The following is a 27102-nucleotide window of genomic DNA, read 5'->3' as shown; positions in this document are numbered from 1 at the left end:
GGGTCAGCATCGTAAGAAGCACTACATTGGGTAAGGACACACATTTTGGAGTCATCCCGTCCTGGGTTACATTTTTGGGTCCCTTCCTTCTCCAGCTGTGTGAAATTAATCAAATCACATATTTCCCGGACATTCCTCTTCTGTAAATGTGGATAATACTCTCTCTCTCTCTCATAGGATGTGGTGGGGATCAAATGAGAAAACAGACCTACAGCACCAGAAGAATGGATGACAGAGGTTAGTTATGATTCTGTTTCTTTAATTGTGTTATCTCATTAAATATTAGATAATAATGTAGGGTAGTTAGGGGTCTCAGCTCCATTTGATCAAGGAATTTAAGCACCAGAATGTTAATCCTGTGTGAACATCATCTAAACCCTGGTCAGACTGGATCCCAAATTGTGCTTTTTCTCCTGCCCCTGAGGAATGTATTGGTTGCATATGTGGGTGGCAATGAGGCAGCTAAAATTAATGACCCTCCAGACCAAGCACAATGACCTTGCAAAGCAATTGGGCTTCAGATGCAACCTACACACGTTCTTTTTTTTATTATTAGCATCGCCTGGAGACAGCCTCCCTATACCAAACAAAGCCAGCTTTTCCTGCACTGTGCTGTGGAAAATTCCAGAGCCATGGCTGTGCCCTTCTTAGGCTGCTGAGGTCAAAGTCGGTCAGAAATAGGTGAATCTCCATCAGATGGGGCTTTTCCCCAGCAGAGTTTCATCAAGTCAGGTTCAGAACTTGGGATCCTTGGTCCCCCTATGGACTGCTCACTGCACTTGGGCTGTACCTGCTTCTTCACTGAGTGGGTGGGGGCTCCCCTACTTGGCAGGTATCAGGACACATTGTACAGTCCTTCCCACCTCATTGAGGTGGAGCACATAAACAGATGAGAATGAAAGTGAGGGCAGCGGCGTTTGTATGGATGGGGGTGGGGAATGTGGTGTGGAGGGGCAGGAGGCTTCCAAATCCAGGTGTCAGAGAGCTCAGGTGTTTCCTTGCCTACTAACGTCCTTCCCCGTGGTTTGCATCCTATCAGAGCTTTAGGCTGTCCAGAGTGTGGAATCCAGGACTAGAACCTCACTGGTTCCACAGTAGAGAGGATGGCTCTTTCTCCTTTTTGAGATTCCTCTCATTCCCACTGTGTGCTCGGATGACGATGAGCTATCTTCTCCCCACTTGGAAGCATGCCTTCCCCCAAGAGGTGGGGAACTGAAGTGCCTATATCTGGAACCAGGTGTCCTAGATGTGAACCTCAGCCCTGTCTTGGCTACATGTGTAACCTTGGGCAAGTTCCATAACCTCTCTGAGCCTCAGTCAGCTCATCTGTAAAATGGTGATAATCACAGCTAAGAAAATGGCCAGATGGATTAAATTAGTTAACACATGAAATGTGCTTTGAAACATACTGGCACACTAGTAAGCACTCAATAATTTTCAGCTGTTGCTACTCCAGTGAGTAAAACTGGGTCCCTCAGATAAGCAACACCAGAGAGCAAACACCAGAGAGACCTTTAGAAACACTCAACGCTCAACTCACTTCTTATTGTCTGGTGGCTTTGAATAATGTACTTAATCTCTCTTCAGCTTTATAAAATGAGTTCAATTGCTCCAAACTTTGCTAGTTCCTGTTTGTCTCCTGCCTAATATCAGGTAATATTATTCCTTCTCATACTGTGGTTGATTTAGAAGTGCATAGTAATGGCTGGGTAATAGTAATGGTGGTGGCTCACGCCTGTAACCCCAGCACTTTGGGAGGCTGAGGCAGGTGGATCTGAGACCAGCCTGGCCAACATGGTGAAACTCCATCTCTACTAAATACAAAAAATTAGCCAGGAGTGGTGGCGCATGCCTGTAGTCCCAGCTACTTGGGAGGCTGAGGCAGTCGAATTGCTTGAACCCGGGAGATGGAGGTTGCAGTGAGCCAAAATTGCACCATTGCACTCCAGCCTGGGTGACAGCGAGACGCCATCTCAAAAACAAACAAAAAAAGAAATGCGTAGTAAGTATACACAAAATATTTCAAAAGGATTTCTTCTCCACAACTCTTCAGGGACCCCTTAAGAAAACAGACTCCAATTGTATTAACCATTGTATTACTTTTAAGAAGTCAACCAGGCATGGTTCTATTTGGCACCAAAGTTCTATTCAGGAAATGGCAGCCCCCTTCCCTTTGACCCCCAATACTAAATCTACAGTTCTAGAACAATTCACTTCCTAAAAAATTGTGGGCATCTTAAACCAATATTGGACAGAAAGGCAGGTCAGCTCTTCCTCTATTGCTTAATATTATCCTTCTTGTTGCCTTATGGAGGAAGCTCTTGAGAGTAATATAATATTGTTTGTGACACTCACTGATCTTCACCCAGCTCTTAGCACAGTGGTCAGGAATTGGTTGTGAGCTAACTTGTGCAACCTCAATATAAACCCAAGGAATTGTTTCTTTGACATTAATAACATCATGAGAGGATGCTTGACTCATCAAAACATTTCAGAGTGGTATGACTCAATGCATTCTTGCTCTTTTTTCCTTTCCTGAATGCCTTGATATCTCCTTTCAAGGCTCTACATGCTTCTCTCTACCCCATCTATGCTGTAGAGCGCCGGGTTCCACCAGTGGCATTGTAGCCTCTGTCTCCCTCCACCATATGGACCTGAGAACTTGCCTTCTCAGCCTAGTCCTACAGAGAAGTCCTGCGGAGTCATGTAGAGGACAGAGGAGGAGCTTGCAAAAAACCTCTGACTTTGCTAGAAACATTGTAGCTCTAGAAAGTCTATGTGGCCTCTAGAACAATTCAGTCCCTCTGGTAGAAGAGCCGATTGCAGTGCCTTCAAACTCTCCCCCTTGGAGTCTGACTCCAGTCCCCATTTTTTTTTGTTTTAATTTTTAATTTTTTTAGACAGAATCATGCTTTGTCACCCAGGCTGGAGTGCAGTGGTGTGATCTTGGCTTACTGCAACCTCTGCTTCCCAGGTTCAAGCAATTCTCCTGCCTCAGCCTCTGAGTAGCTGGGACTACAGGTGTGTGCTACCACACTCAGCTAATTTTTGTATTTTTGGTAGAGACTGGGTTTCACCATGTTAATCAGGTGGTCTTGCACTCCTGACCCCAGGTGATCCTTACAGAGAAGGATCGCCTGCCTGCCTTGGTCTCCCAAAGTGCTGGGATTACAGGCATGAGCCACCACACCTGGCCTCCACTCTCCATTATTATCAAGCCCACCCCAAGCAGGCCCTCAGCGTCTCCCTTGGAGGCCACCACACCTTCCTGAATTAGTTAAGTAACTTTCCCCTTGGTGGCCTCTTTAGCAGCATCTCTAGGGAACAAGCAACCAGTGAAACAAGTCTGGGCCCCATATCGGGGGTCCTGGGCCTTCAAAGCCTAGCCCAGCCCATGGCTTAGGTCTGCAGCTACCAGGCAGGCTTAGCATCCACAGCTCAGGAAGCCTGCCTTTCCCTGGAAACTCGATTCTAGTGATCATCTCAGGCAGAGCTGGTGACTCAGGCCCTCCTCCCCTTCCCAAACTCCCTCTGGCTGCTGTCTGACCTGCTGTGACTTCTTTTTGCTTTCAAGGCTGCTCTTGATATTTATCTTAACCAGATTTTACATGGTATGATGTGCCTGGGGCCCCAAATTTTCCTGGGGAAGGCCAATTCCTCTCTCTGCTGTTCACAGTTTGCCAAAATGGGCAGGGATGGGCTGTGGAAAAGCTGCCTGTGGGCTTGGGGAACTTGAACAGTCTTTGGCTTATGCAATTGTCTAGTGTCATTTAGGTTATAATTTTCTAAAGATGAATTTGTCAGAGGCCAACATTTTCTATGGAATAAAAACAACCAGCTTACAACAGTAGCATGAATGATAGACTTGCAAAATGGCTAAAGAAGTAGGGAGAGGAGAAAGTTGTAGTTGTATTGTTTGGGGAGCGTAAGTCCAGGCATTGGGTCAAAGATAAGGGAAGCTTTTCTAGAAAAGCTTTCTCAATATTTTCACACTTAATTCTCAGAGCCAGTTTATGGAGGTGAGCATTGCTCTCCTCTTACAGATGAGGAAACCAAGGCTCAGGAAATGTAAGCAGTCTGTCCAAGGTCACTGAATTAGTAATAATAAGAACAGCTAACACTTATTTCATGATTACCATATGCTAGGAATTGTTCGGAGTGCTCCACAAATACTAACTTACTTGATCCTTACAATAACTTGACCCTGTTGGGAGAAAGGCATTGTATACTGCTTGTTTTTTAAATCATCCCCAAGGCCTGCTTTTTGTTGTTGTTGTTGAGAAAGTTGAGGCAATGAGACATTAGTGGTCTGTTAAGGTCACCTAGCTGTTGCCAGAGCTGGGACTTAAACCAAGAAGTCAGACTCCAAACTCTCCTCTTTTAACCAGAGTTTTGCTATACATACCCTTTTTCAAGAAAGTAGTAGAGATGAGATTTCATGTTTAAATGGCACCCCCCTTCCAATATCCTAGAAATTCAAATCACTGGTGGGCTGCGTGCACACACACATATGTGTGTGTGTGTGCACGTGTGTGTGTGTGAGTGAATGTGGGGAAAAAGTCAAACATGCAATCCTAGACTCCTCAATCATGTAATCTGGAACTATTTGCTTGCCTACCATTTTCTTGCATGGGGCGTGGAGTGTTGGAAGAAGGCTCACTTTCTACCCTTTGTGGGATAGAATCAGCTCACATCAACTATCAAGAAAACTAGCCAATGTAGAATCAAGTGTTCAAATCTAAGTCTTGTCCAGAGCAGCTGGTTCTGATTATACTCTTCCCCGAGGACAGGGCCATCTCTTGCTTATTCTGGGGTCTCCGTGGCCTCACTGTATGAGTGGAAGATTGTTCCTAAGTGTGAGGAATTCATTCCATTTTTTTGTTTGTTGAACTGCAAATCAGATTGCCTTGGGCATGAAAGAATGGAGGATGTGGTTAAGTGGGCAGGAGGGAAAGTGGAGAATGTTTCAGAGAGAGACAAGGAAAGCAAAGGGTTGAAGGTAGAATAAGTCTGATGTCTCTGGGAGCAGGCAAATGATTGGGTTGACTGAAGTAGAAACTGAGTTCGAGAGAAATGAAAAATGACCTTGGATGGAGGATGTAGACAGATAACGGAACATCAGTTAGAGGGGTATCAAGTGGGTACAGCTGGTCAAAGGGAGTCACTGAAGATTTAGAAAGAGATAAAGTCTATGCTGGGCACAACTTTGGTGAAGATCACCCTGGTCAAGGGAGACTAAATGAATTGAAAGACAGCGTCCAGAAAATCAACCAGGAGATGGCTGCAGTAAGCCAGGGTGAGGGAGTGGAACCACTACAACCAAAATGGTGAGGACAGAGTGGTCCCCAGAAAATTGAGCCATCAGATCTCAGGGACAGATGGCTTTTAGAGCTCATCTACTCTAGCTGCCTTTATTTACCCTGTCCCCAGGGAATGGGTTGAATTCCCTCAATGATTTTCTAGCCCAGCCAGTGACTGCTCAGTGTTTGAATGAATACCGAAAAGGAAGAAGAACTCACTACCTCCTCTTCCATTTTTGGAAAACTTCAACTATCTGAAATATCTTTGTAGTAGGCTAAATCTGGCCTCCCATGAAATTTTATACATGGGTCATTACAGAAGAATCAGCTTCTCTGAACAAAAAGAATGATATTTATGGGAATAATGAAAAGAGAGAAGATCTGAGTCCAAGGCATGGACGCATGGTTTTGAGTAGGTCGGTGAAACCCCGTGGGGCTTAGTCACTTCTGTGGAAATGACAATGATACATGTCCTGCCTAGTTCTCTGCTCCACTTGGAGGATCAAATGATAGCTTTGTGACAATGCTTTGGAAACTTCAAAGTGTCACATATAGGAGGGGCAGATAAGATCCTTAATGCTCTGCAGGAGGGACTATGGTACATAAGTAGCTGGGAAAGCCAGATCCATATTCCAGCTCTGCCACTTTCTAGCTGTGTGGTGTTTTAGGCTTGCTACTTAACTTTTCTAACCCTCGTTTCCATAGGTGCAAAAAAATATAAAAATAACCCTACCTCAGAAAGTTGTTGTAATGACTAAATTTGATAAAGTATTTAAAGGCACTTAGCACAGGGTTTGTCTGGAATATAACAAATGGTGAATAAATGTCATTATGACTGATAAATGATGACAACCTGCATATAGGAAATGAGTGGAGAAAAAGGAGTCGAGTTGATGGACTTAAACTTGAGTGAGTTAAGAAAATGGTGGTAGCATTGCCAGAGCCTGGGAATATAGGAAAGCTGGTTGGAATGATCTAGCAGATGTATTGAAACTAAGCAACTCCTGGCGTAGCACTGTGCGTTTAACCACATGCCACAGGCAGTACTTTGTCAATGGCAGTATTTTGTCAGTGGCAGTATTTTCAGCCTGCTCAATGCTGGATGGCTGTGTTCTTTCTCTAACACACAACTCTTGTGATATCAACAAGACACACAACTCTTGTTATCTCTCCTGCTATATCAACCCATATAACAAGAGTTGATGGAGCAAAATATAGTGCAGACGCTCACAGCCCCTTCCCCCTACAGCCATGCCATAAGCAATCAGGAGTGCCTTTCATTGTTGCCAGATAGAGTGTCATGTTTAGGTACCAAAATGATGAAAGAAATGTCATCACCTACACATTCCTTCAGAGGGGCCATCCTGTCCTTGGCCAGCAGAACTGTCTGGCGGAAGAGTTGCACATCCGTAGATACTTGGCATAAAACTCACACGAAGAGAAGGTAAGTAGTTACAAAGGGCTTTTCTCACAGTGGTCTCAGTGGCTGGGACCATTTAGAATGGTCCCAAGCGTAGCTGCTATTTAATCAATTATGAAGTGCTAGGTAAAAGATGAACCAGCATTAGCAGGTAAAAGGTGCAGTGCTTGCTGGGGGTGAATGCTCATGGCGGGTGCAGTGAGGAGCATTTTGTATCAACCCACCTAAGTGCCTTGTAGGGCAAGAGCATGACTTTGATTTTTTTTTTGAGACACGGTCTCATTCTCTCACCCAGGCTGGAGTGCAAAGGCACAATCACAGCTTACTGCAGCCTCAAGCTCCCAGGCTTAAGCACTCATCTAGCCTCAGCCTCCTGAGTAGCTGGGACCACAGGCGTGCACCGCCATGCCTGACTAATTGTTTTATTTTTGTAGACATAGCATTTCCCTATGTTGTCGATGTTAGTCTTGAACTTTTTGGCCTCCAGTGATCCTCCCACCTCAGCCTCCCCAAGTGCTGGGATTACAGGTGTGAGCCACCATGCCCAGACTTAAGATCTTTTGAGGTCAGGAGAGGGAGAAAGCTTTGGAAAGCCTCTCAAGAAAGTTTCTTCAATTGACTATCAGACAAACCAGTCTCCACTTATGGGAGCCCCATTTTACAGATGAAGAAGCTAATAATTAGAGTTTCTACAGCTTGCCCCAAATCACACAATTTGTCTTGTTCCCTCTCCAAATCCAGCTAGGCTGAGGGAAAGAAATAATAATTTTAGAAAGATGCAGAGAGAAATAAAGGCAAAGCAATACCCAGGGATGATAGGTGCCAGGTCATCTCTAGCTTAGCAAAGGACTTCATACGAATGGATGTTGATAGTAACATTCAATTAACTCATCCCACATGGCAAACTTTCAGTTATGTATCCTGGAATTTCTTCTGCTTCTCTGCCCTTAAATCTCTTCCATAAAGTAGTGGTTTCTAAACAATTCTTCTCAGTCCAGATCTTTCTCCTGAGTTCAATAATCCTGCATCTATTGCCCACTGGATTCTCCACCTGGATACTTTACAGGTATCTCCAAATTACCATGTTCAACAAGCCTTACCACTTTAGCCCAGCACTGATACCCCTCCTGTGCTTCCAATCTAGGTGAGTGCCACCATCATCCAATCAGGGGAGCCTGCGCCAGGGAGTCATCCCCGATCCCTCCTCACATCTAATCCCTCACAATTTCAGTCTGTTCTATCTCCTGAACAGCTCTCCATTCCATCTGCTCATCCCCATCTCCAGCACCAGCCCATGTCTTTTAGCTCAATCATTTCTATACCATATGGTGGATTTATCTTCCTAATTGGTCTCCTGGACTCGATATTCTCCACCCCCCACGCCAATTCTGTCATTCATTCTGTAGCCAGAATGTTCTCTCTGAAATTCAAACCTTATCAGACCACTCTCCTACCTAAAATCTTGCAACGCTGCTCCCTCAATACAGAATAAAGCTCGAAGGAATGACATACAAGAGCCTTAAAAATTTGGCCCTTGCTTCAATTTTACCCTCATCCTCTATTGCTCACCTTACAAACTGTAGCAGACTCTTTTGGTGCCCTGCACACACCATTTGGCCTCATCACATCCATATGCAGAAACAAACTTACAGGGGAGAGTGTTGCTTTGTACTTCCTTGAGGCCTGTGCTCTGTCAGGCACACATGGCAGGCCAGAAGAGGGAGCGAACTGACCCCCGGGAGTTGTCCTCAACCAATGACAGAGATTTAGTATATGAAAAGCACAGCTACATTGCCTCATCAGTGGGGAAACTCTGAGGCCTATGTTATATACCATTTTCCAGAGTTTCTCCACGACGTTGAACTCCAGTTGCCCCTCTGGTAGCTTACAGTAACTGGCTTGATGACATAACCTTCATTGGCTGCATTCCCTTCCCTATCTGACTCTCCTGCTTCACCACTGGCGTTTTCTTTGACCTCCCCTAAAAAAACTCTTGGACTTGAATCTTTGTCTCAAGGTCAGCTGCTGTTGAGGTCAACTAAGACACATCCTCATGCTCTGGCGTTTCCAAGAGACTTCCAGTCCCCCAAGCCCATGATACACTCTCCCACTTAGAACAGCCATTTGAAGTGTGCCCACTCCTTTCTTTCTTCTTCCAGCAAACTTCTACTCATTCTCTACAACTCAAAGTAGCCTCCTCTGTGAAGAATTATCTGAATCTTTCCTACCACATCATTATGCAGCTGAATTAATTCTTTCTGTGCTTGGTTGTGCTTTGTACATATTTTAATTTATAATTTAATATATATTTAAATTGATAATTTATATTTTAATTTATAATTTTATTTATTTATAATTATGTATATCAACTGGTGATTCTGCACATATGTGTCTCCTTGACAGGGACTAGTTGCTCTTTAAGGTCAAGAGTAATTTTCTGTGATCTAGACCACAACTTGCCATGTGGTGAAGTGATCGAAACATTTTGGTAAATAAATAAGTTGACTATTGGACGTTAGGGATGCGAAAAGCAGTGACACGATAGTTAAAAGCTCCATGAAAAGGCACTCAGTAATTCATTCATCATCTAATTATTGAGCGCCTACTACATGTCAGGTACTATTCCAGGCATCTGAGATACAGTAGTAGGCAAAACACAGATCTCCTTCCTGGTGAAGTTTACATCATAACACAGGAGATATAAAGTAAACTAGTAAATTTTGCATGATTAGTACGGTTAGAAGCTACTAAATTCTATGAACCAAAAAGCTGAACAGGGCAAGCAAATCAGGGAGTGCTGGTAAGGGGTAGCGATAGGAACGCAGGTTGCAAGTAGAATGTAATGGGATCCAGGAATCACAACAATATAACTCAAAAGAAAGGTGTGTACATTACGCTGGAGTTGTTCTGAAAGTTAGTTGACAAGGTTAATTACCAACATGCAGTACAGTAATTTTGCTTTTAGTAGGCTAGACATTTGTGGCTTCAGAGCACACCAGCCCTATTCTATCTAGGCTTGAAATATCCTTAGTTAAAAATGACTGCTTTCTTAGACATGTGGTCCCCAGGCAGATTGCCTGCTGTGAATCCAGTTTTTAATGCAAAATGTCTTTCCAGCACAGAAGTTCACTGCCAATTTATTGAAGTTCATGGAGAGAATGATATCAGTTGACAAAAATATATTAGAGAGGGGTGCTAAGTTTCAGGAGGTAAAGTGAAGGGATAAAATAGACCAAGGACTATGCATCCAGGAAAGCAAACATTTTCAAATAAATTCACATCACAGTTACCATCAATCCACTTCTCAGCAAAACCATCCAGGTTGGAAAAAAAATACCGCATGAGCAATCAGAATTATTCTTCTCTGCCTAATAGTTAATTTGGTGAATTTACCTTTTGAACATTCTCATATGAAAAGAACTGCAAAGATTAGAGAGTTAAATGGGATCCAGAGGTATAAGAATATTTTTAAGAACAGATGACTTATAAATTAGATTGACAGAGGTTCAAGGGAGATGATGGCTCACTGTAATGGGAGGCTCTAAAAATAAAATTCTGAAACTATAAATCATAAAAGGTCTCAATGAGGAAGAAAGGCAAAGGCAAGAGGCACTTAAGGAAACCACTACCACTTCACAGACAATTCTGTGAATTTGGTATTTTAATATTTATGAGGAGGACAGAGCTTTCAGGGTTTCCTGCCAGGAGTCCTGGATCCCTGCAGAGGATGGAATACTGAGAAGGGCCTCTTTAAACTTTGCAGTGGCTCCTGGAGAACATAACATGACCCAGATTTCTTTACATGGCACCCAGGGTCATTGCAGTCAGACCCTTGGCAGCATTGTTAGCTCATCTCTCTCCCACTGTGCCTCAGTCCTTGGGACCTGCTACGGTTTGAATGTCCCCTCCAAAACTCATGTTGAAATTTAATTGCCATTATGACAGTATCAAGAGGAGAGACCTTTAAGAGGTGATTAAGTCATGGGGGCTCTGCCTTCATAAATGGACTATGCCATTACTGTGAAAGTGGGTTCGTTACGGTGAGAGAGGGCTCCTGATAAAAAGATGAAGTTTGGCTCCCATTTCTCTCTGACACATGTACGCTTTCTTGCCATGTCATGCCTTCTACCATGTTATGATATAGCAAGAAGGCTCTCACCAAATGCAGCTGCTTGATCTTAGACTTTCCAGCCTCCAGGACCATGAGCCAAATAAAGTCCTATTTTTTATAAACTACCCAGTTTGTGGTATTCTGTTATAGCAGCAGGAAGCAGACTAAGACAGCCCCAAGGCTCCATCAGGGAAAAATTCCTGGCACTTTCCAGGTGCTCACACCTCCCTGTCCCTTTCCAGCCTCCTATCTCCAGCTCTATCCTTCCACTCCTACCTCCTGCCCAGGGGACTGACAACCCATTCGGTAGAGCATATCCTCTCTAATTCCTTTTCATAACACGTGTTAACACATCAGGGCATTTGCTCCCTCATTTAGATCCCTTTATTACAGTATAAAATCTGTAAAGGGAGGAAATGTATTCTATTATATCCTTATATACCCTTATATTATATTCCCTATGCCCAGCTCAGTACTTAACACATAGTAAGTGTTTAATAAAAGTTAGATGAGTAAATAGTTAACGAATTAATGCAAGATACACACAAAAGAGTATTGCAGGAAGCATTCAACAATCCAGCGGACATTTATTCAGTGAGTTAGTGTGTACCACATGGTAATGTTCTCATGAGGACATATTATTATTTCCACTTCACTGAAGTAAAAATGGTGGCTCAGAGAATTAGACAAAAAATCCAAGTGTGGGAGGCCGTAAAATGGCCTCCAAAGATATCCAAGTCCTCATGTCTGGGACCTGTGAGTATTACCTTGTACAGCAAAAGGGATTTCCCAGATGTGATTAAGTTAAAGATCTTGAAATGGGGAGATTATCCTGGATTATCAGGGTGGCACCAATATAATCACAAGTGTTCTTAGAAGAGGAAAACAGAAGGAGAATTTACTACAGAAGAAGGTGATCTAATCTCTCTCACTGTAGAGTGAGAGATTTAACGAGGCTACTGCTGGCTTTGAAGATGGAGGAAGGGGTCATGAGCAAAAGAATGCCAGGAATGCAGCTCTAGAAGCTGAAAAAAACAAGAAAATGGATTCTCCCCTGGACCCTCTGGTAGGGTGGCCCTACTGAAACCCTGATTGCTGACTACTGACCTCCAGAAGTGTGAGGGAATAAATATGTATTGTTTTATGGTACCAAATTGTAGTTATCTGTTAGAGCAGCCATAAGAAATTAATACAGCAAGATTACAAATGCAGTTCAGTATAGGCGAGTCAGCAGGTGCATTGTCCTAACTCTGGAGCTCTGCCATTATTAGCTGTGTGGTTTTGGATGAATTACTTTATCTCTTAGTCTCAGGGCAAAAAGCTATGTGAAACACCATTCTTCCAGAAGCATCAGGCAATAGCCTTGTTTGCGCTCTGTGAGGTGGGCTGATGCTCATCTTAGCATTGCCCTTGTGGACAGGACACCACTGGACAGAGGCAAGTGGAGACAATTAGCTGTGCCCTGCCCACTGCTCAAATGTTCCTATAGCAGCCCTGTTAAGGAGAGTTGCACCGGCAGCCTGGGGAGAGCAGGGACTGGGTGTGGTGCAGGGAAAGGGGCTCTGTCTTCTGGGGTGGGGATGTTTCGTATGCTTCCAGATGCATCACCCATTTAATCCTCAGCATTGCTGCTGTTAATACTTTCTTTTTATAGATGAGGAAAGTGAGAATTTGAGAGATTTAATACTTTATCCAAAGTTACATGCTAAGTGGCTGAGCTGGGACTTGAACCCACATCTTTCTAGTATCATTACTAAGACTATGTAGTTAACACCAGTGTTGGTGGTTCTCAAGGTAGGACCAGCAGCATCAGCATCAACTGGGAATTTATTAGAAATATAAATTCTCAGATTCCACCTCGGATCTACTGAATTACAAATTCTGAGGTGGGGGTGGCAGATAGGAATCTGTGTTTGAACAGGCTGTCCCGGTGATTCTGATGGCCACTCAAGTCTGACAGCCATTGCTCTATGCTCATTGCCTTAGAGTCCTTCGGAAAGACTGTCGCCATCTCAACCCAGGCTTAGGCTGCTTGCTACTCTGGGTTATTGCTTAGCACCAGTAGTAGAAAGTGGCCAATGTGCACAGTGCAAGCATATTTCCAAACTTGCCATCCGGAAGGGTGGGTATGGTGTATGTCCTCTTGGTAGAGGGTTTAGGAGGGAGGTGAAGGAGGGATCCAGCACAGAGTCAGAAATTCTGCCGATTACCTGGAGAGTGAGTTTGATTTGAATCATTCAGTAAGACATGGCTAAACATCATCTGTATTTTATTTCTGAATTGTCTAATAATTAGCCTGAGACAACAAAAGGAGGCTGATGTTGTCTCGTTGACAACCATTTGATTAAGCTACAGGTTTAAAGCACCTGCCTGTATCTGGAATTCTCAATGTTAGACATGGTCCCTACATTCCTTGGAGCTTATAAGACAGGGAGACGGAACTTCAGTGATGGAAGCCCAGAGAATACATATTACAGAATGGTGGGGTATGAGTTAGATTCTGGAGGAGGGTTTCAGGCCTCCAAGTTCTGCTGGCCTCATAAAGAATTTGTGAGCTTGGACATTCCTGAATGATGTACCTGTTCATCAGTTTTTTTTCTGGCACAGACATCTGAGGTCAAGTTGCCCCAGCCCCATACGAGGGCCCTCTATGGTCTGCGAATGTCTCGCCACCTCCTCACGCTGTGTTCTGTGTGGGAACAGCATAGGCGGGTCTTCATTCTCCAGCTCTGGATCATCGTGTTTTACACCTACAGAGCTGGAAGCGGGAGGTGGAGGGTTGAATACGGAAAGGGACAGTGAGGGCTAACCTAGTAGTGAGATAGCTGCAAACTGAGGTTTATATATTTTGGTGGGGGAAAAAATACCTGACAATGAGATCTTTCTAGGCAGCAAACCTAAAGAAATGACAGATATGGTGAGAGTGTGGAAAGACAATTTTTCAGCTTTTGGTAGTTATATAACCCCTTAGACTTGTAGCATATTTTGAGATGACCCCTTTGCTGAACCAATTTCTGATTTCTCCTCCTGTGCTCAGCTACTTCCAACATAGTCTGTGACACACTCACAAAGGTTGCAGTAACTCAACAGTGATCCAGCCAGTGAATTTATGTTTTCCATCTGACATAATTTAATTCTTGCCCTCCCTGCCCCCAAGTAGGAGTCAAACCAAAAGAAGCACCAACATCTTATTTGTCCTGCCTCTTCAACTGTGCCACGGTATTTTTATTCATTCATTTGTTCATTAAAAAACTGTTTACTGAGCTAGTATTTGTGCCAGCAACTGTGCTAATTATGGGGTATGCAACGATGAGAAAAAGCAAATGCACTCCTGCCCTCATGCTTAGAGTCTGGAGTGGGACTCAGACATCCAACAAATAAGAACAAACACAATTGTGGACCTGTGATTCCAGCACTCTAGCCTTAGGGAACCATGTCTGCAAAGGGTCCAGTGCGGGGAGGCTTGGCCACCGGGACAGGCTAAAGGAAGGCCAGAGAAGGGGGGAGAGAGTAGAGGAGAGAAAGAGAGAGAGAAGAGAGGAGAAGAGAGGAGAGGGAAGAGAGAAGAAAGAAAGAAAAAGAAAGAAAAATGAAATTGAGATGGGTGTAGGGGTATCAGACTTCGCAGGACATGTTAATGGATCCTGTATTTACCCCAGTAGCCACAGGTTTTAGCAGGAGAGCATTGTGATTAGATTTGCATTTTGAAAAGTCACTTTAGCTTCTTTGCGGAACTAGAGAAGATTCACAGAGTGCTTCTGGGAAGTGATGATGATAGCCAACCTAGGACGGTCATGGTGGGGATAGAGGGAAGAGGACAGATTCAAGAGAAACTCAAGAGGTAAATTAACTAGCTGGGTGATGGATTGGATATTAGTGGAGGCAGAGGGATCAACAATGAATAAAAAATTCTGGTTTAAGTAATATTAGTAACCAACATGTTTTTGCCTAATACATATAGGCACTGTCCTAAGTACTTTTATGGGTTGTCATTTAATCCTCAAAATGTTCCTGGAAGAGAGGTAGGATTACCATCATCCAAATGGGGAAGCAGGGGCACAGAGAAGTTAAATGTGTTCCCTAAGATCACACAGCTAGTAAATGACAGAGCCAGGATTTGAACCCAGGCAGCCTCCCTTCAGATTCTGTGATAGTAACTATGACATTGAACCATGTCTTGAAAAGATCAACTTGGGATCTGGCAAAAGGACATATTGTGATTGAGCAGGTGTGTTCTCATTGTGCTAGTTTCCACTGCTGCCATCACAAGTTACTATAAACTTTGTAGCTTAAAAAAGCACCCCTTCACTAACTCACAGTTCTGTAGGTAAGACAGCTGGGTACGGTGCGGCTCAGCTGGTTCTCTGCTCTGAGTTTTACAAGATTGAAATCAAGGTGTTATCAGGCTGCATTCTTTCTGGAGGCTCTGAGCCTGGGTCTGTTGCAAGTTCCTCGGCTGTGGGCCAAGTCCATCTCACACTTTGAATCTCTCTAACTTCCCCTTCTGCCTTCTGCTTGTTTTGCCTTCTTCTACCACACCTCTCTGATTGCCTCTACCTTGGGCCCATCTGGACAATTCAGGCTGATCTCTCTATTTTAAGTTCATTTGATATTAACCTTTAATTTCTCCTGCAAAGTCCCTTGTCAACAGTGAGTACCCAGGGAATGAGAATGCAAGTTTAGAAATCTGCTGTCACACTAGACAATTCCTGGCCGCTTATTGCTGCTGCTGGTCCACACTTTTAGTGGCAGGGTCCTAAAGCATTGGCTTTAATGAGTTTGTGCCAATGGTTTTGCATGTGTTTTAGGACCAGTGATGGAAACTCTGTGAAGTCTCCTGCTATTTTCTCTTTACATGGAACAGAATAGCTGGAAGGTTCACAGGGATGATGCTGAAGAAGGGGAAACTGAGGTGTAGACACATAGAGAGCTATGCTGAAGTTTTACAGAATTCACGCTAGAACTTAGTTGTCCAAGTATTGGATCAGAGCTATTCCTTTCCTGTCATTTGCTCAATTTTTCATTTAATTATTCATTCATTCATTTTTTTCAACTATCCATAACAGTTATCAAGCACCTTCTCTACAAGATATTTTACCAGGTTCACGACATATAAGGCATTTACAGACTTTGCCCCCATCAAACAAACTATGTAGTGAGAATTACATATATTAGACAAATATTCCTACAAGTAACTAGATATTTATCATAAAATTAATATAAAAGAAATGTAGAGGCTTCCTAGAAAGCTTACACTAAGGAGATCTAACCTTCTCTGTTAAGGATCAGGAATCAAAGAGGTGACATTTAAACTGAGGCCCAGACGATAGATGATTCGGGTGAGATAACATTAAAGGAGGGGGAGTGATGTGTGGGGGTGTTCTAGGGTGCAGGGCAGAATGGAAGAATCAGGGAAAGTAAATGTGGCAGGAAAATACTTGGGGAAGAAGAGAATGTTGTGAGCTAAGTTTAGAGAGGAGAGGTGGGTCAGATTGACCCTGGCCTTCAAGGCCGTGGAAAGGAATTTCAGTTTTATCCTAGGGAACTGGGAAGTCACAGGGGAGTGGAGTCTCATGCTGAGCTTTGAATTTTTAAAAAGAGCATTCTGGCTGTTGTGGAAAATGGAATAGGAGATGAAGATGAAGACACATGACTGTGGACAGATGGGGTGTGTTCAGGGAGGCTAATGAGGAGATACTGCAATATCCCAGGTGAGAAGTAGCTTGATCCAAAGTGTTAGACTAGGATAGGGGCAGAAGAGATGAAGAACAGAAAGTGGATCTGGGAGATTTGGGAGGTAGAACTGTCTTGACTTGGTGTTGGATCTGATGTGGGAGTGACGAAGGAGATGTTCAAGATGACTTCCGGTTTCTGCCATATTTGTGGCTCTTCTGATAACATAGAACAATTAAACATTATATTCCTATATATAATAAAAAGCCTTACTTTTTTCATAGTTTAGCTTTTATTATATTGCAACCATTGTGATTTCGGTGGCAAGAAATCCTGTTTAATATCACCTGGAAAGAATTTGTTTCACCAGATTTGTCAAAGGAGCTCACAGAATTTGTATTAAGTATTTGTATTAACTTTCAGCATGCTAATGTTTCTTCTAATGTTCCCAATAACTCCATTTTATTTCTTCTTCATTTCAACTTGGGCTAGAGAATGCAAACAATAGCCTCTTTACAAAGAAATTATGAAAGGAAGTGTCATGTCATCATATCCCCATTTCTTTGTAACAGCCACTGCCTCATTTACCTTAGGTCCATTTTGATTTTGTCCATATGGCCCATTGGTTGTTACTAACTTTAATGATCAAATATTGACTCCTGCCTTGTTCACACAAAGCATGATGTAGCCACAGTGTGTACTCCTGGGTGGACATTAATAACATGCACCTGGGACCTGACAGCACCAGCTAAAATATAGAAACCCGTCGCACACTCCACAATCATAGCGTGAAGCTTGTTTTGATGGAATCCTCCTTGGCTCTTGTATTTCTCCTTGTGGGTGCTCTGATATCAGATTGTCTGGGTTTAAATTAATCCCAGACCTTCTATCTACCACTGGAGTACCTTAGGCATTTACCTCATCTGTTTCCTTATTTGTAAAATGGAGATAGAATCAGGCTATTGGAAGTACTGAATTAAATAACCCATATGAAGCCTTTAGCTCAGCATATAGGAAGTACTCCGCATATGGGGGTTACTGTTTTCATTGTTAGGGAAGGGAAGTGCTAGCACATCATGTTTTTTCCTTTTGTTCTTCTCTGGTGATGACAGTTTAGAGGGCTAGGGGATCTTCTCTTAGGAGAAAAAGATGGTACTGAGCAGGCTTATGGTCCCAAGTCCAGTTTTGCAAACAGGCCTTGCCAAATTGTTGCTCTGACTGTGGACATCACAGTGAACAGAAGCTGTGGGCTGCTGCCTCTCATGTGAGCTTGCACCCTGTTCTTTCGTTCAACTGGCTCAATACAGCCATCAGTGCCTGGGGACTGAGCAAATCTGGCCGCCTCAGCATTCTGTCTGAGTGAATGCTTCTCAAATATGTTGGCAGGAGGCCAAGAGTTGACTTGATGGGGTCCTTGGGCAAATCAATTAGCCTCTCTGAAAAGAGGGTTGATGACATTGATGACAAGAGGGTGGAGGAAGGGAAACAGTCCAGCGAAGGTTCTTTACCGGTTGACCCCACTCATCTCTCCATCCTTTCTCCCAAGCTGCCTGCCCTGCTCATCCCCTGCCTGGGCCTCCAAGTGATCGCCGTCCACAGGACCCTTTCAATGGCTTTGTGCCTTTGCTCAGGTTCTCTCTCTCGAATATCCTTCTTAAACATCATAACCTTCTTTGATTTTTAATTTCTTGCTTATCCTTCAAGGCCCAGGTCAAATGTCACTTCTCTCGGATGTTTTCTTATTCATTCATTCCACAAATATTTCTTAAGCAAGGCATGTGCTGGACATGTAAGATACAGCTGTGAACAAGACAGATGAAGCACCAGCTCTCACGGGGCTGGCTGACAACAAGTAACGAACCATAAAATGTCATGTGGTGAGTGCTATGGAAAGTCAAAACGAGGTGGGCAGGTGTGGGGTCAGTGGTGGAAGGAACTGCTCAGAGGAAGTTATTTTTGAACTGAGACCTGTGGGATGAGAAGAAGCCAGCCATGTGAAGGGCAAGGGTCCTGGGTCCCAAACAAGCTGGTTTTGTTTGAAGGATGAAAAGAAAGTTGGCATGACTAGAACATGTGAGGGCATGGGGGATGGTGGTGTGAGGTGACAGCACAAAGATCTCAGGTAAGGAGTTCAGATTTTATGCTCAGTAAACAGAGATGAAATCTGATTTTCCATTTGTAATGGCACTATGCTGTGTAGGGAACTGATTAGGGAAAGGAGAGAAAATAGGAGAGGAGAGGGAGAAGTCTGGGAGCTGGTTCGGAGGCTGTTGCAGCAGTCTGGGATGGCAACAATGGTGGTTTGGCCACAGTCACAGCTATGGAGTGGGCAGAAGTAGACCATTTAGAGATATATTTGGAAATACAGTGAATGCCATTTACTGAGGTGGGAGAGATTTGGTGGTAAAGATGGTCAGGGGGTTGGGGTGTCTGAAGTCTATTTTGGACGTGTTAATTTTGAGATGCCTATTAGACAGCTGAAGGGAAATGTCAAGTAGTTAATTGAATCTACAGGTGTGAATCTTGAGGGAAGAGATCAGGAATCTATATATATTTTAAGAGTCATCAGCATATAGATGGTATTTAAAACCATGAGATTGACAAAGATCTCCTTGGAGAGAGTGTAGAAGGCACAGGGAAGAAGTGAGGATGATATCCAGGAAGACATCCACATATTGCAGTCCCGTACGCTGCCCTTCCACGCCCCACCCCAGTGACCTCCCTGACCACCACCAAGGATAGGACATATCTCTCTCTCCTCTTTTCTGTTCCCTAGAGGGTGAATAGTGACTTCCTCCCTCCTTTGCAGGGCTATGAAGATTCTCAAGATCCTAGATTCTCCAATCTCTGCAGGTCTCACATCATATCAAGCATATTAAAATTCACCTTTATTCTACATTAACATTAATTATAGTCATGTACCATATAATGACGTTTTGGTCAATAACAGACTGTATATATGACAGTGGTCCCATAAGATTATACCATATATTTACCATACCTTTTCTATGTTTAGACACACAAATACTTACCATTTTGTTACAACTGCATGCAGTATTCAGTACGGTAACATGCTGTACAGCTTTGTGGCCTAGAAGCAATAAGCCATCCCATACAGCTTAGGTGGGTGGTAGGCTATGCCATCTAGGTTTGTGTAAGTGTGTTCTATGATGTTTGCATGATGACAAAATCACCTAAGGATGCGTTTCTCAGACATATCCCTGCTGTCAAGTGACAATGGCTGTAAGTATACTTTCTTAGTTGCAGTGGACTAGTTTGACATGATCCACTTTGTAGATATTTAATAAAGATATCATTTGATTTTGATCTTTGCAGTTTTATTTGTACATTTTAGAGTCAACTCCATTTTTAAGGTTTCATGCTATTTTTGGAAGTCCTTGGGAAGCTTGTAGTGCAAGGGCATGGAACCTTAGCACGTGATTAGTGAAGTGAGCTTGCTCCTTTGACTCCTGACAATATTTTATACCCTTTAAAGGCACTTAAACGGATTCACATTGTAACCATGTGTTTTATGTCTAAGTGTCTGTTTCCCTCATTAGACTATAAGTTTGAAGAGGGCAAGAGAACACTCAGAACCTAGTTTGTGGCGGGGACTCAATAATATTTATTTATGGAAGCAACTCTTTTGGAATGAGAAAAAGTCAAGCCCAGGCACACAGTGTGCTTTCTATCTTCACTTGAGAAAAGGCTCTTACCCCCTTGCCTTGCAACATATGTGATGTGGACTTGCTTTTCTCCAGCACTCTTAAAAAGGAATCAGTGTTGTACAGAATGTTGAAGCTGTGGGCTTGAGTCCCAGCCACACCCCTTAACTAGCTGTGCCTCTTGCATCAGAAAATGAATGTCTATCGGCCTGATTTTTGTGTGGGCCAAATTAAATAAATCCATTTTAGTAAAACTCTGTGAAGCTTAAAACACTGTATTTTTAAAATAATGTACTGTTTTCTAAAATGAAAAAAGTAAAAGATCTTACAACTCAAGCCTCAGGGAACGTTTCTGGAATTTTCTAGAAAGTGGGATACAAAATATCTTTTGTTGCCTGACACCTGGCCCTAAAAAAACCACAACTGGATCCAACAATGGTCCTTTAGAGAAGAGACCTTGTAAGAAAGTCCTTTGGTAATAAGCCAGTCAAACTGTCCTTGTAAGTCCCTTGGAGGTAGAGAACGGGAAGGAGTGCTGGCCATCCCAGGTCACATTCTGGTCCGCTGAAACGTAGTGAGGCTGCATAACTGCATCTTTATTGCTCAATAACTGAATCTGGACCTGATCTTCACCTCTAGTGATGAAGAGGAGACAGGATTATACAGATTAGCCCCATTTCTAGGTGCCAAGTAGTTCTAATGAGCTACAGTGAAATTAAGTCCACCTTGGCTATGCCCTGCTAAATATGTCAAAGGCTCTAAAGTATTCTGTGTGAAAACTTCAGATTTCATGAGTCTGCAACAAACATAACATTTAGAAAGGGATGTTCACCAGAGAAGAGAAGAAGATCTGTGCCGTCTTCTACACATATTGGGCGCAGGGCCCTGGGCTGGGTGAGGTCACACTGCAGCTGTCCTCTGTTCCACCTCTACCATCTTGTGGTTGGGGACAGAAGGAGGGGGGGTATTAAATTGGCTGAGCCATAGTTTAAAATTGCCTCCAATATGCAATTTCTGTTCAACACATTGCCGTCTGCCATTGCTCTCTCTGTGCAAGGCTGAATGATAATATGGAAGCTGTTAAGAATGAATGTCTATTTTATATTTTAGCGGCATGACATTCTTTTTACATGAGGGGGATAAGATGTTATGTATTTATTTCCATACTCAGATATGTTGCAAGTATTGATCACTTTGATTGAGAAACTTTAGTAGTTACTATAGCAATCACTTCCCCTTCTTTACCAAGTACTCAGTTTGTAAGTTCTTTAAAAATGAAGGGTAGCTTATTCAGCGGAAAATAATGAATCTGGTAGAAGAGATCAGCAGTGTGACAAGCCTCTGATAACTGGAGTGGAAAGTGAGTGATAATTAGCAGTCTCCCATGGATGTGGGGATTCAGAATGGACACACTATCCTTCTTCTACAAGGTGTACAAATGTAGATTTTTCTGGACTAAACCACCAAATTTTGAATCACTGTTCTTTGTAGCAATAGATAATTAGATTAAAACCATGAGAACATCTTACTTCCCTAAGCACCTTGTATGCAGCAAGTTCACTGGTAACTGGAGCAAGTTCATTGGTAATGTTCTTCCCGCTCTCTTCCTGTCTTCCCAGGTAAGACTCATCCATGCTTCAGGGACCAATTCTAGCTCTACCTGCTTTAGGGAACTGACCAGTCCAATTCAAAGGAATCTCTGCCTGTTCTGAACTTAACAACTCAGTGTACCACTCATTTGAGATTTGGCATGTACTACTTGCTGTTAATTGTCTTAATGTTAAATTGTATTATTATTATGAATCTGGATATGGAATCTCAATCAATTTGTTTCAAGTCTATGTGGCCCAGTTTTCTCATGTGTAAATGGAGGATAATACATTCACCTCTAGAGGAGTCCTTCTGAAAATTGAGAGAGAACATATCCACATCAGTGTGTATATACCTACTCTATATTCTCACATTGTGTAGTACATAGTAAGTGATCAATAAAATTAATTTCTCTCCATCCCTATAATGGGACTTCAAAGCAGTAGAGGCTCTTTCTCATACCTGGTTGTTATCTCCAGATCTTTAAACCTAGTTGGAGCTCAATTTGTTTGTGGCTTTGGCTGGTTTACAATTTCTTTTCCCCAAAAGGCAGAGCACTGAACCTTTAAGACTAGTAATTGCATCTCAGGCACGGTTCAGAAAGATCTATACTCCACTGCTGTTTTTAGCTAGCTCGTTCAGTCCCACCCCCTGGTATGTACCGGAGATTTATTTTAGACAAAAATCATCTTCTAGACATCCAGCCAATGCCGACTTTACGCAAGATGTCAGCAAATTGAACAAAGCCACCTTCCTCTTTAACAGCTTTTACACTGCCTACCTCCTTGCCCCCAGCCATGGCTCCTAACCCTACAGACACATACTAGTGGGTGTGCTGCGCACTACAGGAAGAATGGGACCAGGTGGGCCCTGTTCTGGGGTCCAGCGTCTGTACAATCTGATAGAAACAATACCAAGCCTTTATGGATTTTTTTTCACAGCCTTGCTTTCTAAAGATGGTATTTAATATATATTCATGACCAAATCTAACCCATTCCTTTCTTACATTGCTGTTTCTCACTCCTTCTCAATTCCCTCCTCTGCTCACTCTTTCTTTTCCAACTTTATTTAGATGTTTCATGCACCTCCACCCTTTCCTTCATATTCAGCTTCTATGTAGAAACAGGGAAGTTTCTCATGACCTTACCCTTTCAGAGAAGTTTATACGTGGGTATGAACAGATCAAATAAACAGGAACTTAGGTTAATTTAATAGAAAAAATAAAATATGGAATAACATTGATTTTGGCCAGTATCAGTTACAACCGTTCTACTATATTTTACAAAAAAACAACTGAACATTTTACACATGTACAGTATTTTTCAGTAAAAGTGGATTTGGATTTAACAATGGGTCACTAATTGAAAATAAAAAGACAAAAGAAAACAGAAATAGGACTTTTGTCTCTAGAAGGTTAGAGCATTTGTTGAGTCTCCAAACTTTGTACTATCCATTACATATATCTCATTATGAATATATATATTTATACATAATATATAACATTAACTTAAACTTTGAAAGCATTATGTTCTAGTTAATAATGTTATGTAGATAAATGAGGCAGTAACACACTAGTAGTTAAACCAGTATTTCCGCGACGTGCACCTGCATGGTCAGTGGGAAATGGAATGCACGCTGGTAGACCCCAATGAATTTTGTTGTCATGTTGATGGTTATTCGTCTACAAAAACAGACATCATTTTTATCTTTCCTATCAATCACAGTAACCTCGTGCCTCAAATATTATGGGCTGATTCAGTTAAATAGATTTCTTTGCAGGCAAATTCGGTTTTGCCATCTGCTTGACCTTGCTTTAGGCTTGTGCTTGCATTTGTCCACGTAAGACTGTGCGTTTAAATGTAAAACTGTATGCTGTACCCAGGATTAACTTTCATTTTTTTGTGTGTCAGAAGGGCCTGTGGTGTTATAAGGGGAAGACTGCTTAGCAAAATCAGTTGGTTCCCTAGTTACTTATGAATCATTATGTGATTCAATACAATTGCAATGCTATTAAGAGGGTCATCAGACTATTTACTTATTATTCACTTTGGGTTGTAAGTTATCTTTGATGTCTAGAAATATTTTCAAGGCAGGCTTTTTCCTAGCTTGCTGTTTGGATGGGGACCTCAGCATCTACTTCCTAGCTCTTTCCCAGGATAGTCCATGTTGATAGTATTCCTCTCCTCAGCTGTGACTCCAGCAGCATCTTCTAAGTAAGGCTCTCAGAAGCATGAAGCCTGCAAGATGGCTGGTCACTTGTAAAGCAAATGAGGTCACCAATGAAGCTTTGATATGAAGAAACTTGATATCAGTCTAGGCTCCCCTAAACAGAGAAACTGTCAAAAGATCTATAAGATTTCATCGTTTCTGGCCACTAATCCAAATAGTTTCCTCATAATTCAGTCTTCTAGTTTCGATGAAGTGTTTAGAGAGTCACAGAAAACCAGTGAAAATATTTCTTAAAAAAAAAAAACCCCAAAAAACAGATCATCTCAGCATTCAGTGGACCAGCATATAATAGTATGGCATAGTTATAGAGGGACAGAGGAGTAGAAAAATAAGAGAACTAAAAGGGTACAATCATGCCACCCATATTCAATTTCCAGTTTTATTTTCTTAAAATGACAAGATGAAAAAACTTCTTCTAATAAGCACCATTGAAAAAAGTTGCCCGGCCAACATGGGCACAAGCTTAAATATTATTTAAATAAATTCCATTTCTTAAAAATACAGGACCTCTTGGGAACTTTTGACTCCAGGAAGAGATTTCCTGCATCATATCCAAAATGCTTCCCACCATGACAAATGGAATTTCAGATGGCCTTTAAAAAAAAAATGGGGGTAATGGCTAGATAGCACCAAGAGATTGTGCAGGGTCTACAAAGTTAACACTCTGAATTTCAGGGGAGCTGGATCAGCCTCAGCTCATCTATGTACCTCTGCATTCTGTCCATCTGTCCATCACCAATTTGACTATACAGAGCAATCCCATTTGGCGAACTGCGTGTAAAATAACCCAATCTACAATGGAAAAGCCAGTAGCAGCAAGTCTATCTGATGAAACCAGTGGAGCAGACTTATCAAGTGAGTAAAATGCAAAAACCAGTACATAAGTACACAGCATGAAGTAAATGATGTGTGGAGAGTATCCATGTTTCACTGTGAAATACCATGGCAAACGACACTAAACACAACTCTGTAGGATGTTCCTAATGCCCTCAGGTCCAGTTTTCTGTCATTTCCCCCAATGGTGGACTCAAGCATGCAAGAGCTTTCTATTTCATTTTTGTCTATGTATGCTCTCGCGATGTTTTGGAAAGGTATTTTTAGGTGTTTCAAAGGGGAAACAAGCAAGTCAATGCAAAAGGGAAAAAAATGGACCTTCAAAACCAGGGCAGGAAATCAAATCATTACTTTAACGTCAAATTTTGGCATCAAATGCTTTGGTCATACAATACTGTCTCTGTGGTTCTGGCTGTTTAGCACTAAACACCCAGTTATAAAAGGTAGGCTTGTTGTAGTTTTATTTTTTTTTCCATTTAAGTTCTGACAAAACAGTTCACCATCTCCCTGCACAAACTTGAGAGAGAGAGAAAGAAAAAGAGAGCAAGAAAAGAAAGAGAGAGGTGGCTTGCTTTTTTTTTTTTTCTTTTTGGCTTTTTTCTTTTTAATAATATGGAATAATCTATAAGTCTACAGGAACAAAGAAATCTAAGATGGCTGCTCAGCCTTGAAATGTACATGTTTTGCAGCAAAGTTGTTGAAGAACCTTCCGTTGGCACAGATTGTTCTTTTTCACAAGCATACAGAAGCCTCCTTCCGCCCAGGACTCTTCCGTTGCTTTTCCAGAAGTCAGCAAGAGAGAAGGGGAGTTGAAGACGAGAGCAGCATGATGTACACACATGGAAGAAGGTTGTGATTGGCCAGAGAGGCAGATTTGGGGAATTGGAAGAGATCATTCAGGAGTAGTCAACAGGAGGAAATTTGGTCCACCCAAAGTGATTTCAGTCAACCGCATTGTTTTTCAAGGAGAGGAGAGACATTGCAGTCCAATGGTAAATGTAATTGGTATCCATTTGTGAAAAAAAAAAAAGATTAGAAAAAGAATAAATTAGAAATCAATTAATAACACAAGCAAGAAATTTGTCTTCTTTGAGATACCTAGAGCAGAGAGTATACAGTCATTTATACCATATTTCATTGAATCTAAGACACAAGATTTAAGATGCACCATCATTTTAAGTAACACAAAGGAAAAGATGCTTCATATTAAACTGTGACACAATATTGTCTTATCAATTAGAATTTTAATTTTAGACTTATTAAAAGTATTTGTTATACTTATGTAACATTCTGTTTTGTTTCCATGCTTATGCAAGAATCTTTCCTTCGAATATTGAACAATAGTTTAATTTTCAAACCTCTTTAGAACGGCAATTAAATTCAACACAAGAAGAAGAATTAAATTCAACACAAGAAGAAGTAGTCATGTGCCTAACTCGGTTGAACAGATGTCTCTGCATCCAACTCTCATATCTGGGCAGTAACACTGATATCACATCAGTTTTCTGGTCAAAAGCAGTTGTAAACTGCCACAAATTATAAGATGCATCTGATTTCCGAGATGATAAAATGTAAAAAATATATGTCTTAGAATCACAGAAATATGACAGTTGAAAGAGAATAAATAACACATCCTTAAGTGCAGCTGCCATGTGATTTCAAAAGCCTGGTGAGCCATCAATATTCTCATTTTGTAACTGACCTGAAAATGGGCTCACTGCAGATATGATTCTTCTTTTCCCACTTCAGCCCACAAGCCTGACACTCCGCTTTTAGCAAAGTGCCATTTGACATAACTTATCCAGTGCTCACCATGGTTTAGGGAAAGTAGTTAAAGCATTACAACTCTTGAAATGCCTGGTACCAAGTACTGTTGGTGAACATTTCAAGTTGTTACAATGGATTTCCTGCATCGATCATCACTTCTTTTTTTTTTTTTTTTTTTTGAGACAGTCTTGCTCTGTTGCCTAGGCTGGACACGATCTCTGCTCTCTGCAACCTCCACCTCCAGGGTTCAAGTGATTCTCATGCTTCAGCTACCCAAGTAGCTGGGATTACAGGTACGTGCTACCATGCCTGGCCAATATTTGTATTTTTAGTAGAGATGGGGTTTCACCATGTTGCTCAGGCTGGTCTCACTTTCATCTTCCTCAATTTTCTGTTACTAACCTACCAAAAATTCTGGTCATATTCAGAAATAGGGGAGCCATGTTTTTAAGTAAAGTAAAGGAGGCACTTGCTGGTAACTAAAAAATGATACTTACGTGGCCCCTGGGGTGC

General features: G+C 42.1%; 1 protein-coding gene across 8 annotated transcripts in view, besides 1 other annotated feature; it reads right to left on the bottom strand.

Annotated features, from left to right (window-relative positions):
* PCSK5 (proprotein convertase subtilisin/kexin type 5) overlaps positions 1 to 27102 on the bottom strand; it is a 473167-nt gene that overhangs the window by 144140 nt on the left and 301925 nt on the right. For 2 of the 8 annotated variants that reach the window (NR_120409.2, NM_006200.6), the window contains one exon: positions 22947 to 25599. The exons of 5 other annotated variants lie outside the window; for them this stretch is intronic. Coding sequence is in view for 2 of the 3 variants with exons in the window: in NM_006200.6 (NP_006191.2) it covers positions 25484 to 25599 (116 nt within the window). In the remaining variant the exon portion in view is untranslated. Of the gene's footprint in view, positions 1 to 19365; positions 20805 to 22946; positions 25600 to 27102 lie in introns of those variants that run through there. One more of the 8 variants, XM_047423455.1, reaches the window with a different exon arrangement.
* Positions 11561 to 12085: an enhancer, noted in NCBI's record as "OCT4-NANOG hESC enhancer chr9:78821667-78822191 (GRCh37/hg19 assembly coordinates)". NCBI's record gives its function as "activates a minimal SCP1, AML or CMV promoter by ChIP-STARR-seq in naive H9 embryonic stem cells {active_cell/tissue: H9 hESC(naive)}" and the evidence as "EXISTENCE:reporter gene assay evidence [ECO:0000049][PMID:30033119]".

Source organism: Homo sapiens, chromosome 9 (assembly GCF_000001405.40).
Source record: "Homo sapiens chromosome 9, GRCh38.p14 Primary Assembly".
In the NCBI taxonomy this organism is placed as follows: Eukaryota; Metazoa; Chordata; class Mammalia; order Primates; family Hominidae; genus Homo; species Homo sapiens.
The sequence above is the reverse complement of the archived record's forward strand: the minus strand, read 5'-3'. Positions and strand labels throughout refer to the sequence as shown.